General features: G+C 48.4%; 1 protein-coding gene across 7 annotated transcripts in view, besides 3 other annotated features; it reads right to left on the bottom strand.

Moving 5' to 3' along the window:
* Positions 1-10,050, bottom strand: part of FAM20B (FAM20B glycosaminoglycan xylosylkinase) — a 59,234-nt gene extending 49,184 nt beyond the window's left edge. For 2 of the 7 annotated variants that reach the window (XM_047436094.1, NM_001324310.2), the window contains exon 1: positions 1,526-1,580. The gene's annotated coding sequence lies outside the window, so the exon portion shown is untranslated. Of the gene's footprint in view, positions 1-1,195; positions 1,261-1,285; positions 1,491-1,525; positions 1,581-9,859 lie in introns of those variants that run through there. The other 5 variants (XM_017003001.3, NM_014864.4, XM_017003002.2 and 2 more) reach the window with 3 other exon arrangements.
* Positions 704-1,443: a silencer, noted in NCBI's record as "silent region_1584". NCBI's record gives its function as "represses an Ori minimal core promoter by ATAC-STARR-seq in GM12878 lymphoblastoid cells {active_cell/tissue: GM12878}" and the evidence as "EXISTENCE:reporter gene assay evidence [ECO:0000049][PMID:35858748]".
* Positions 1,484-1,673: a silencer, noted in NCBI's record as "silent region_1583". NCBI's record gives its function as "represses an Ori minimal core promoter by ATAC-STARR-seq in GM12878 lymphoblastoid cells {active_cell/tissue: GM12878}" and the evidence as "EXISTENCE:reporter gene assay evidence [ECO:0000049][PMID:35858748]".
* Positions 9,923-10,434: a transcriptional cis regulatory region, noted in NCBI's record as "candidate enhancer chr1.10033 targeted for multiplex CRISPR interference". NCBI's record gives its function as "positively regulates FAM20B gene expression with high confidence in K562 cells {active_cell/tissue: K562}" and the evidence as "EXISTENCE:mutant phenotype evidence [ECO:0000015][PMID:30612741]".

Here is a 13,045-nt window from a genome sequence, read left to right as displayed (position 1 = left end):
CATATTTGAGGAAGTGCTCTAAGCTTAGCTCAAAGATCCTGCATAAACTCAAGGAATGTTTGTAATACATAAGAACACTGAGATCTCTAACCAGATTTTTAGAAATCAACGCCAGTGAAATTTTTGCAAGAATTTACAACGCAAAAAACATAGGCGTGGCTAATAAATGGCAATAGTAATTTGTACCAGATTATAGATTTATAAAGTCCTACAGTTTAAAGGCTAAAGGCTAAAAAAAACCCCACATTCCTACTTCCCTTCCAAGTGAGAAATCAAACCTCCAGAGGGAAGCTGGCTGGGTGGGGAAGATGCTGATATCTGGCACTAGACCCAAGTCGCAATAGCAAGCAACTCTCATTTTCCCAAATTAGAAACTCCTTATCCATCCCAATGATGGTATGGTCTTTAAAAGGACTAATAATTCCATTAAGACTAACCAAGCCCTGTTACCCCTACTTTCCCTCCAATCCATCCTTCTACCCCTTCTCTTCTTATCCGGAGACTGGCAGGTTAACAGAAGTCAGATTAGAATGAATCTCTTATCAGAACCCACAATCAAGGACGCAGCTCGACAACTATTCACATTCATCATTAAGGGAAACGTATCGGTCCGCTCTTAATCGCGGGGCCGTCACACCCGGAAATGAAATCTCAAGCGCAGCCCACTGAGGGCTAACACAGCATTCGTTAAGTTGTGCCCTTCTGCGAGCGCCCGGCGCAGGACCCCAGGAGACCGCGGGCCCCGGGCACGGTTGCCCCGCCTTCCGCCTCCGGCCTGCAGGTCACTCGCGCTTCCCGGCCACGAGGCGGGCCCAGCAAAGACCCCGCGAGGGCGCGCTCCCTGGGCTGCCTCAACGGGCGCTCCGGGGAACACAAGAGAGGCACCGGGGCCAATCGCCTCTGGGGACCGCGCAAGGGGACGAGAGACGGTCACTAGAAGGACCTCTGGCAGCCTGAGGCGGCCCCAGGTGGGCCCGCGCCTCAGGTGGGCCAGGGACGTGGCGGCCGAGGCCGCGTCCCTTCAGCCGCGACCGCACACAGGGACACGCGGCCCGAGCGGGTCTCCCAGGAAGCCTCGGGCCCTCGCCCGGGACCCGCCCGCAGCCACTCGGGGACGGCTCAGGGCACCCGGTGCCCGGCCCCTCAGGGAGGCGCCCCGCCCCCAGGCGGCCCCAGCCCGGCGCGCGCTACGTACCGTGCCCCGCCCGCGTGCCGGTCCGCATTTTCCCGCCCGCCGCGCCGGGGGCGGGGGTCGCGCGCCCTCCCCCGCCCCCGCGCCACTCACCTGTCGGGCCCTAGGCTCGCTCCATGGCCGCCCGCGCGGTGCGGTGCGGCGCGGCCCCGGCCGCCCCCGCCGCCTCCGGGGAGGGGCAGCCCCACGCCGCGCTCACCGCCCCCAGCCGCCGCCGCCGCCACAGCGGCTCCGGCCCACCCCCGGCCCGGCCATTCCCAGGCCACCTCTCGCCGCGCAGAGCGGCAGTCCCACACCCACCCCCCCGCCTCCGAGGCCCCCGGCTGTTGGTACCGTCCTAGCGTAGCGCCTGCCCGACGGCCAATCCCAGCGCTCGCTCGGCGCGGCCCCGCCCCCGCCCAGTAGGCGGCCCCTACCGGACCCGCTCCGGACTGCCCCCCTTAACCTCTTCCATACCGGGCCCGTCCGCTTAACTCCCTCGGCGCCGGCGCCGGTCTCCTGCCGGCCGCGCCGCCCTGCCCGCTTACATAAACTGGCCTCTCACTTCTCACTTCCTTCGCTCTTTTTTCTTTTTCTGTATTTGTCCTCCATCCCCCACCCCGTCTTCTCTTTTTCTTTCCTGCTTTTCTTAGGTAGGTAGGCAGCCAAGCAGCAGGACTGGAGAGTTGCGGTCCCCTAGGTCGAGTTCTGTTTGTGAGAAGCATTTTCCCTCCTCCTGTTGCCTTTTTAATTTGCCTTGACTTCTGCTCGGAACTTCTGCCTATCTAAATGTATCCCCCGCTTCTTTTGCCCAGAAAAAGGCTAGCCTTTCCACACTGAGTGCAAATGGCTCTTCATTCGGACCAGAGCGGAGCGTCCTGCTACATACTTTCAGGAGCATCTCACAAAATTATGATTCATTTACTGTAATATTAGTTGTTTTACATCTGTTTTTTGCTAAGGACCGTAAGCCCCATGAGGGCAGGTCAGTCGCTCCTGGGTCGCCAATGCCCGACCGTAGTGCACCCAGTGGGCGCGGATAAATCGTGTGAATGAAAGATTCTGCCTTCCCTTTGTTTGCTTTCAGCTGACTTATACAGAGCCGCCACTGTGTCCATCCATTTATTCACCATATACTAAAGCGCAAACTTAGTGTGCCTGACCCTGAAATATAATGCAGGTTACTCCATGGAATAAGATGCGTGATGGGGAAAGACTGAGCTGACACTTTTTCTTCAGGCCACATAGTTCATTTAATCAGTAAGGCGTACTGAACAGAATTCTTTCTTACTGGCTGTATGATACTGGATGTGCCAGTTAACTTTGCTGAGCATCAGTTTCCTTAACTGGAAAATGGGAGTTAATAACTTCACAGGGTTGTTGTAAGGATTAAGTTAGGAAATGTATGGGGAAAGTACTCTAAGATTATTGTGTATGATTAGGTGTTATTCGTCTGTATATTTGCTGAGCATTTACTATCAGGAGATCCTAGAGAAATAATTGGGCTTGACACTTGCTCCGGACAATGTAGTTAGGGAGGCAGCATTAATCACTGCAGGAGACGTACAGTCAAATGCAGAAGGCATTGTATTAGCTTTTTGCTGCGTGTAGTTGAAAAGGTTTGGAGGTTTGGAGGTCGTTTTCTGGCCGGAGAATACATAATTCTTGGGAAAATGAGCTGGAAGATAATGAGAATCTACCTTATTTCTCTGCACAGGAAGATCAGTCTGCCTGCAGTTAGCTAATCTCCCTGAACCTTGCTCACTACATCAGGAGACCATAAAGCAAAAGGGTAAATCAACAGTTCCTTTAAGACACTTTATCCAAAAGGATTCTCCTTTCTTGCCTGTAACTCTGACAAGGACAGTGAGGGTGAACGCTCCAACTGTCACTGTTCAGGAAAAGGCCAGCTTATCCTGCAGCCTCAGCTTCCTGGGCGGATGATCCCTTCTGTCTTTAAGGATTTTCAGGTGAGGGCAGGGGGCAGTCATTGCCTCTCCAAGCAACCCACTTCAGTGCTTAATTTCGCATCCATCTATCCATCCCACATACTGCAGGACAGACACACTTCCTCCTTTTCTGTCCTCAGAGAAGGAGAGCTATGGGTTCAGGGCCTCTCTGTGAAAGGCTTTCAGACGACAAAATTGTTCTGCCCCCCAGTTTTCCCTTCTCCATGTTGCATTACCCAGGCCCTTGTTGAGTGTATGCATAGCACCAGCACCGTGCCTGACACTCCATGATGTCAGTTTCTGCCCCCTCCGCCTGTACGGGATTATTTTCCAACCAATCAACAGTCAATATATTCTAAGTATTGTGAGGGATGCAATCATTTAAGAAGGGCGTTTACATGACTAGCACACAGGAAGCAGCTGCAAGGAATAGGGACACTTAAATTATGCAGCACAGACTCTGTGATCACTGAAAGAATCACAGTCCAGGAAAACAGTGTGGGCTGGTATTGAGGTGAGCAAAATACAGGTAGGAGAAGAGAGGAACAATATGAACCAAAGTTAGGCAGTGCTCTGTGAACTTACAGCCGCCATCTTCAGCAGATCCTGCGTGACAGGAGAATTGTTCATTTGTTTGTTTATTCATTCATTCACTGATGCATACATTCATTCATTTAATGAATGTCTACCAAGTGCCAGGCACTGAGCTACCAGACCATGCAGAGATGAAGAAAGCCTGGTTCCCATTCTTGAGAAGCTGGCAGGAACCCCAATTAAGGAGGTCTGAGCACTTTGTCAAGACTCTTGTGATGCTCCTTTTACCACTCATACGATGTATGGTTCTACATGTCGTTGTCTAATCTCCTCTTTGCCCTTCTTCCTTGTTCCCAAACTGCAAGGATTTTTAAAGACATACACTATTTCATCTTTATTCCCACTTGTAGAGTGCCTCATACGAAGTACCTTCTCCACATTGATGTGTTGAAGCTCACTGAGTTAAAACCAGAGCAGGAATTTGGCTGTCCCCCTCCAGCCAAGGGTGGTAGGCATCCTTAGCAGAAGGATGGATATTAGCCCCAATGTGGAACCCCAATCTTGGAATTAGCCCCAGTGTGGAACCCACCAGAGGCTTGTCCGTGGCCTGCGGAATTCAATAGGGACACCTGTGCTTGGCATTTACTGCCATAGTCACCTTTTCAGGACCATTTTCTGCTAATTCCTTATCCTCCAACCTAAGGGGCTCACTTGCTGTCCTTTCCCTGCCCTCATGGTTGTGATCACATTGATTCTTCCTCCAGGAAATCCACCTCACTCCCACCTGTAAAAATGTTATACAGCTCTCAGTGCTGCTTGTTCATGAAGCCTTTCATAGCCTTCCCAACAACTGCACATGCTTTCCTTGGCTTCTGAGACCCAGCACTTTATTTGTAACTGTCTTGCGGTGGGGTGTATTGAAGTCTTTGGGGATCTGTCTGACCCCGTTCCCCGGGTTGTATTGACATCTGCGTCTTCTGTAGCACTAACACTGCACATGGCCCATGGTAGCCATGCAATGCTTGAAAGGAAGGTTTGAGAACATGTACTACAGAGCAGGGAATTGAGCCCCAGAGACTTATTTCTTGGTTCCTTCATCATTGTAAGCATTTTCCTTAAACTGTTTCAGAATTTCCAAGTCTCTGCCAATTTGTCAAGCCCTAGGACTCCAATAACAGTCCAGCAATCCCAAGTTAGAAGGAGGATATTGTCTCAAGGTGCTTTTGCATACACGAAGGCAAAATATATATGCATACACGCGCGCGCGCACACACACACACAGAGTTTCTTTTAACCTAGGCAACACAGCCACCATGATGGATCCCTCTGAAACTAATTAAATTAATTCTACATCAAGCAAGTCGAGAGGAGCCCTAGGAAAGCTCACGCTGTTCCAAGGTGCCAGGAGCCTGGGGAGAGGGTGACGGGAAAGGCTAGCGAGTAAAGGAGCACACATATCTCTCTGTTTCCTTCCAGGAGCATGTGCCCTGCCTCAGCTGCTTCCCAGGCAGGTTTGTTCTCTGCATTGGGCTGTCTGTGGACAGCTGCTTCTGCATTTCTTTCCTAACAGGGAAAACTCCTTTCTTTCATTTTGCCACCAGATCTGCAGAGCTACTCCCAGCCCGCCTCTTGCTTATAGCAACGGACTGCCCACTTACCCCATCACGTGGCACCCCTGTCAATGCCATCTGAGCAAACAACTCACGTCCCAGGGACAGCATCATAAGCTACATACATACACAGCACACCCAGCTTCTCTGCTGAGACATTCGGGCTGTGGATTCTGAAAGTGGTGGGAATATTTCGGTTATTTTTTCACTCTAGCAATATTATTTTTAAGAAAAGCTTTATTGAGATATACATACCACAAAACTCACTTGCTTAAAATATACTCAGTGCCTTTTAGTATATTTACAGAGTTGAGCAACCACTAACATAATCTAATTTTAGAACATTTTCATCACCCCCAAAAGTAATACGGGATGTTTTCTTTTTTATTCTGAAAATATATTTACCTATTTATTTTGTTCTTTAAATCTGCACAGTAAAAGCAAAAAGAAAAATACATTAATGGATATGTTAGATTTCTAGAGTTAGTAAGAAATGCAGAGGAGTTATGGCTCTCAAAGCTGTGTATCACTTAACTGTCATGTATGGCTATAGAAATTTGTTTAACTACCCCAAAGTGTACACTTTGTTGTGGCATATACGCTTCAGTAAATGTCCAGGGCCACATCTTTGACATTTTCCAGTTTGTTATGAATTTCTCTAATGCCACATATGGCTTTTCAAGGGATTGGGTGGAGAGAGAATTGCAAATTCCAGATTGCTAATTCCCACAAGGTAATACTTTTGTAATATGCCTAGGATGGTACCACAGGCATATTGGTATTTAACACACATTTTTTTTTTGTTGTGATGGAAGCTGTTTTTTATTGACTCAATTCAATGCATGAAGTAATTGCAGTCACATGGAAGTTCTGGGTTCCTCAGACTTCTCTTTGAGACCCTGCTTGGAAAGCCAGGAAGCTTCTACCATCGATGGATAATGTGGTAAGGAGTTCAGCAGAAGGCTCTTTGAGCCTTTCTCATGGCTGGCCGAGGGATGTGCTAGAGGACAATTATCAGTCTGGCTGTAGGGGAGCTTTTTTTTCTTTTTGAGACAAAGTCTCCCTCTGTCGCCCAGGCTGGAGTGCAGAGGTGCAATCTCAGCTCACTGCAAACTCTGCCTCCTGAGTTCAAGCGATTCTCCTGCCTCAGCCTCCCGAGTAGCTGTGACTACAGGCGTGCGCCACCATGCCTGGCTGATTTTTGTATTTTTAGTAGAGATGGGGTTTTGCCACAGTGGCCAGGCTGTCCTCAAACTCCTGACTTCAAGCGATCCTCCTGCCTTGGCCTCCCAAAGTGCTGGGATTACAGGCTTGAGCCATTGTGCCCAGCCCAGAGGAGCTTTTTAAATAGCTCTATGCCTGCCCCCATCTGCAAAAATTTGAATTTAATAGTCTTGTGGTGAGGTCCTAGCAAGGGTATTTTTTAAAACCTCCAGTTTATTCTAATTTGCAACCAAGGCTGAGAACCATTGTCCTACTAGCGACTAAGCCAGGGCCATGTTAATAGGTTGAATCATGTGAAATTGTCATCTTTATAGGGCAAAGTTGAACATGGACAATTTTATATAGTTCAATCTAATATACAGGCAATTGGGTTTTATTTTCAAGGGAAGATAGCTTGGTCTTTTGGTAACCTTCTGTAGGAAGCCAGCCATCTCTCCAAGCGCTCATCCTGCTGTGAGCAAGGATGAGAAAGATGTGACAAGGAAGAAAGCCAGTGCCCTGTTGGTCCAGATGCTGCCCCTTGGTGGACCAGACCCCCTACATCTTTCCTTCCAGTGGGGCTTAGACATACAGAAGCCTGTGGCTGTCAGGCATGAAGGGAAATGAGCAAAGCAGGCCAAAGGTGAGGCAACCAGAAGGGTTGAGGGAACATGACATACCAGAGAGCCTGGTCCCTCCTTCAAAGGCATTTACATTTAAGTGTGTGTGTGTGTGTGTGTGTGTGTGTGTGTGTGTGTGTGTATACACACACATACACAGAGCAGGCCAAATCATAGACATCTATGGGTTGAAATCTAGTCTTCAGTCCTACAGTTTGTGATCCTTTCCTGGAAGGTAGATGTTTGTGGCACAGGGAGGTGACCCGAACAGAGGAAGACAAGGTACTCAACACAGTGGGACTATAAGCCCAGGGAGAAAGAACCAGTACCTCACTGATGGCTGCTGTACCCCTCTGGGGCCCATGGGTGAAATAAGGAGGCATGGCATGTAGGCAGGGAGATCCCTCAGGCAAGGGAGTACAGGGGACCACTGAAGGGAGTGTGCTAGGATTTTCAGAGATGTTAGCAACGCTTTGAAAGAAATGGTAATACCAGGCTGGTATTTTCACCATGGCAATGCACAAGAAAGGGTCTCGGCCAGGCGCAGTGGCCCACACCTGTAATCTCGGCACTTTGGGAGGCTGAGGTGGGCAAATCACCTGAGGTCGGGAGTTTGAGACCAGCCTGACCAACATGGAGAAACCCCATCTCTACTAAAAATCCAAAATTAGCTGGGCATGGTGGCACATGCCTGTAATCCCAGGTACTCGGGAGGCTGAGGCAGGAGAATCACTTGAACCCAGGAGTGAGAGGTTGCGGTGAGCCAAGATCGTGCCATTGCACTCCAGCCTGGGCAACAAGAGCAAAACTCCATCTCAAAAAAAAAAAAGAAACAAACAAACAAAAAAAAAAACCAGAAAGAAAGAAAGGGTCTCACTTAATGTGACCACCAGTCATCCAACCAAAATCATCAGTTGTCTTAGACTCATTTTTCTCACCCCCACCTCTGATTAGCACCAAGTTCTGCCAACTGTGGCTGCTAGAGAGTTCTCAATCCATCTCCTTCCTTCCAGCCACCCAACCACTGCTCATGTTCAGGCACCATTTTCTCCCCACTGGATTATGGCAACAGTTAATTTTATGTGTCAACTTGACTGGGCCATGGGATGCCCAGATAAATATTATTTCTAGATATATCTGTTAGGGTGTTTCTGGAAAAGATTAGCATTTGAATTGGTGAACTGAGTCAAGCAGATGGCCCTCCCCACTGTGCGTGGACTGCATCCAATCTGTTCAGGGTATAAACAGAACAAAAATGTAGAAGAAGGTTGAATATGTGATCTCTGACTACTTTAGCTGGGATATGGATCTTCCCCTGCCGTTGCTACCCCTGCTTCTCAGGCCTTCAGATCTGGACTGCAATCTATACCATCGGCCCTCTGGCTCTCAGGTTATACGACCAGCTTTCCTGGGTCCTCGGCTTGCAGACAGCAGATTGTGGGACTTCTCAACCTCCATATTCACGTGAGCCAATACCTTCTCATAAGTCCCTTTCTAGAGATATATGTATACATAGATCCTATTGGTTCTGTTTCTCTAGAGAACCTTGACTGATACAGATTTAATGCTATGGAATGAGTGTGTCCCCACAAACTCATAACTTAATGGTATATCATGAACAACTTCTACATTATTACATATTTTTACTACAACATTTTCTTAAATCACAACATTTTTAAAAGATCTTTGGGGCCGGGCATGGTGGCTGACGCCTGCAATCCTAGCACTTTGGGAGGCTGAGGCGGGAGGATCACCTGAGGTCAGGAGTTTGAGACCAACCTGGCCAACATAGTGAAACCCCGCTTCTACTAAAAATAAAAAAATTAGCCAGGCGTGATGGTGGGCACCCATAATCCCAGCTACTCGGGAGGCTGAGGCATGAAAATCGCTTGAACCTGGGAGGTGGAGTTTGCAGTGAGCTGAGATTGTACCATTGTACTCCAGCCTGGGCGACAGAGTGAAACTCAGTTTCAAAAAAAAAGATCTTTGGTATTCCATGCTGAGGTTATACTGAGGTTTGTTTAGCTGGTTCCTTTTAAGTTAGACATTTAGGCTGCTTACATTGAGACTTTTTACATAAAGGTCATAGGGCAGAGAGGCATAACAGAGATGGAGGTGTTCTCCCAGGACCCAGGCACATGTGACACAGAGGGAACTTGTCACAGATACAGCACAGTTCCACTCCAAGGGCTCCTGGAGAATCCATAAGCAACTGGAATTATCCTCTTTGATGATTCATCCAGATGTCAAGGGCAGAACACCCTCTGGCCTTCTTAGCTAGCTGCCTGCTAATCAGCAGCTTACTCAAGAAAAGGCAAAGTTCATTATCTTTCACACGTCTGCAGTTTTTCATTTTTCTCCTTTCTCCTCTTTTCCTATTTCTTATTTTGGCTCTGATATATGAAATAAAGCTATTTTTGGTTTCCCTTGTATTCAAGTAAATGGTGCCCTAATAATTAACCCTATGTCTTTGAATTATTCTTTGATACTATTATACACAGTCTTTCTGTGATCATTCTTGTAGCAAATTGGTGTGCTTATTCAGGACTGTGTTCCATGGCACTAACTTCTGGTGGATGCTGTGTGACTGTATTGCCCTATCTGACTCTAGCCCACAATGTGAAGGAAGGCAGCTTTCAGCATCACAGGTTATAAAATGCACCAAAGAATGACATAATGACACAGAAATAAATATAGAATGCTCAATGAAAAGCTAAGTACTGGAGAAACTTACAAGGAAAATGAAAATAATTCCAGCCCTGCAAATCTTACCTTCCTCCATACGCAAACACAGACTGGCAATTCACAAGTAAATGCAAGGTTTTCAATATCCAACAGTTTGTAGTCATGAAAAAAAAGTCAAAAGTAAAACACTCCGTACAGTGCCTTTCCTTGTCCTTTTTAAAGCTCAAAAGAGGCTCAAGCAACAACATTCTCCTTCTGAGTTGAAACCAACAGGAGCTGAGGCTGCCCTGGGACAGTGGCCCTTTTATGAACTGGGAGTGAAGACCGGGCTTATTCACAGGACTTGTGGGGCAGTTGGACCACACCCTTTCTGGGCTGCTTGCCAGTGTGTGGTTTGGGCTGGGCCTTGATGGGATTGCTGATCTCCAGAGGGCAACATGGGGTGTGCATTTGAACCAGCCTTCCTTCGGGGAAGCTTTAACGTCAACTATGAGATGTGGCTCTTGATAGATTTTCAATCCCCATTTCCTGAGCTGCTGCTGCATGCTGGGCCTGGGGACAATAAGGACACCTTGCTGGCCTGTGCAGGATCCCAGTCCAGTGGGAAGATTGACACATAGGCCCAGAATCACAGTAAAATTCTGCCATCATTTGTATAACAGACATCTACTGGTCAGCTCTTTTTGCCAGCTCCACGATTCCAAAAGAGGAAGGGTTTCGTAGAGGCTGTCTGGTTGGAAAGGGGTAGCTAGGGCACTAGATGGAAGCAGTTTTTTCATAGATTATACACTGCAGCCTATAAATATAGCAAAGTTTTCCAAAGGTGTTTTTATTCATGTACATATGATTGAGAAAATGTTTCTCAGTTTCCATGTCATTACATATATTGCCACATTCTAAAATTGTTTTTCATATTTGATTATTACTTGGGGTAGTAGGGGAGGCACTAATAGATGGTAAGAGGCAGATACATTCTCCCTAAACCACTCCTCAGGCTGCATTAGGTACAGAGGATGCCATCTAACACTGCCTGCGCAGCAAGCAGGGGCTTGCGATGCAGGTGGGGAGTCAGCAAGCAAATGCAAAATACAGTACAACTTAGCAAGTGCTGCTCATGCATCTGCTTAATGGCTCATTCTTTTAGTGTTTATTGAGTGCCTACTGCAGCCAGCCACAGTGCTGGGCCCTGAGGGTGCTCCTTCTCTGAACTCACAGGGCAGTGAGTCCTAGGGGTAGGGTTGCCTGATAAAACACAGGTGGTCCCATTAAATTTGAATTTCAAGAACAATTTTTTGGTATAAGTATGTCCTATGCAATGTTTTTATTTGTTAAGTCTCACAACCCTCCCAAGGAGAGACCATAAAGAATGCAGAATGCTCACAGCCGGGCACGGTGCCTCACACTTGTAATCCCAGCATTTTGGGAGGCCGAGGCAGGTGGATCACCTGAGTTCAGGAGTTTGAGACCATCCTGGCCAACATGGTGACAGCTGTCTCCACTAAAAGTACAAAAATTAGCCTAGCATGGTGGTGCACACCTGTAATCCCAGCTACTTGGAAGGCTGAGGCAGGAGGATCGCTTGAACCCAGGAGGCAGAGGTTGCAGTGAGCTGAGATTGCGCCACTGCACTCCAGCCTAAAAAAATTAACCTGGCACGGTGGCACGCACCTGTAGTCCCAGCTGCTTGGGAGGCTGAAGTGGGAGAATCGCTTGAACCTGGGAGGTGGAGGTTGCAATAAGCCGAGATCACACTACTGCACTCCAGCCTGGGTGACAGAGCAAGACCCTGTCTCAAAAAAAAAAAAAAAAAAAAAAAAAGAATGCAGAGTGCTCAGGACACGGAGGGTTAGGAGGAACTCCTCAGGTATCTGCTTACTTGGCATCCCCTCAGCAAGGCCGCCATGAGTGTCTTATCATTCTGCAGCCCTTCACCTTAATCATTCTGAAATTATACAGGATGATATAGCAAGGATTATCAGTCTTGCCCAGATGAATGTACTCCCCAAGAGCAGGGTCCTTAACTGTCCTAATTCCCAGCACATAGGTGGGGCATAACTACTTGTGGAATGAATGAATGTTCCTGGGGCAGATGAATGGAGGGCACTGTGGTCAGGAAAGGCTTCACAGAGAGGTGGATTGGAGTAGGGCCTAAAGAAAATGAGGGGTTTACTAGGTGGACAGAGGGGAGGGAAGGACACTCCAGGCAGAGGGATCAGTATGAACAGAGACATGGAGGAGTGGAAGAGCCGGTGGCCAGACTTTTTTTTTTTTTTTTTGAGACAGTGTCTTGCTCTGTCACCCAGGCTGGAGTGCAGTGGTGTAATCTTGGCTCACTGCAACTTCCACCTCCCAGGTTCAAGCAGTTCTCCTGCCTCAGCCTCCTGAGTAGCTGAGACTATAGGCATGTGCCACCATGGCCAGGTAATTTTTGTATTTTTAGCAGAGATGGGGTTTCACCATGTTGGCCAGGATGGTCTCGAACTCCTGACCTCAGGTGATCCACCCGCCTTGGCCTTCCAAAGTGCTGGGATTACAGGCATGAGCCACCGTGCCTAGCCCCAAGTGGCCAGGTTTTATAGGAGTGTTGAGGACGTGTCTGGGAAGGAGTAGGGATCAGGAAAAGCAGCAAGGGCCTGGCCAGGTTCTTGTGTGCCTGCCTAGGTAAGGAACCAAGGGGTTTTTAGGAGGAGGGGAATTGAAGAGGTGTGGGGTCAGAGCAGAGAGGGCATCACAGAAGCTATCCGCCTAGCAATGGTCTGGGCAAGAGAGCCTGAAGGTCTGAAGCAGGCAAGGATGAGATCATTTGCGGGTATTTAGGAGAAAGAATCAGTAGAACTTGGGTGTAGAAAGTTCTACAAGCCAAGGTAACAGATAGTGCCACATCTGGGGGAGAAAGGGTGACATTCCAGGAGGGCAGGGGCAAAGCCTTGGGAAAGAGAAAGGAGTTCTGAGCTAAGCAACCAGCATGTGCATATAGGCTGAGGTGCAATGGGCCATGACCCTGTGGGGGCATGGCGGGCACTGTATGATCAAGGGGGACCTTGAAGGCCCTGTTCCATAATTCCCTCTATGTGGATGAATAACAGCTCATGGCCCTGGCCCCACCAGCTGGGAGGAGCCATGGGTTATGGGTAAGAAGGATCTACTGGGTGATAAGTTCTCCTGTGTGCCCCAAAGGGACTCTTCATTGGCTTGATGTCAGAGAGCAAGTTCTTCCTTGGGGAGTTGGGGCAGCTCCAGCTATTTCTGAGTGGTGAGGTCCAAGGATTAAAA

Source organism: Homo sapiens, chromosome 1, assembly GCF_000001405.40.
Source record: "Homo sapiens chromosome 1, GRCh38.p14 Primary Assembly".
Taxonomy (NCBI): Eukaryota; Metazoa; Chordata; class Mammalia; order Primates; family Hominidae; genus Homo; species Homo sapiens.
Note: the sequence above shows the minus strand (reverse complement) of the source record. Positions and strands in the feature narration are given on the sequence as shown.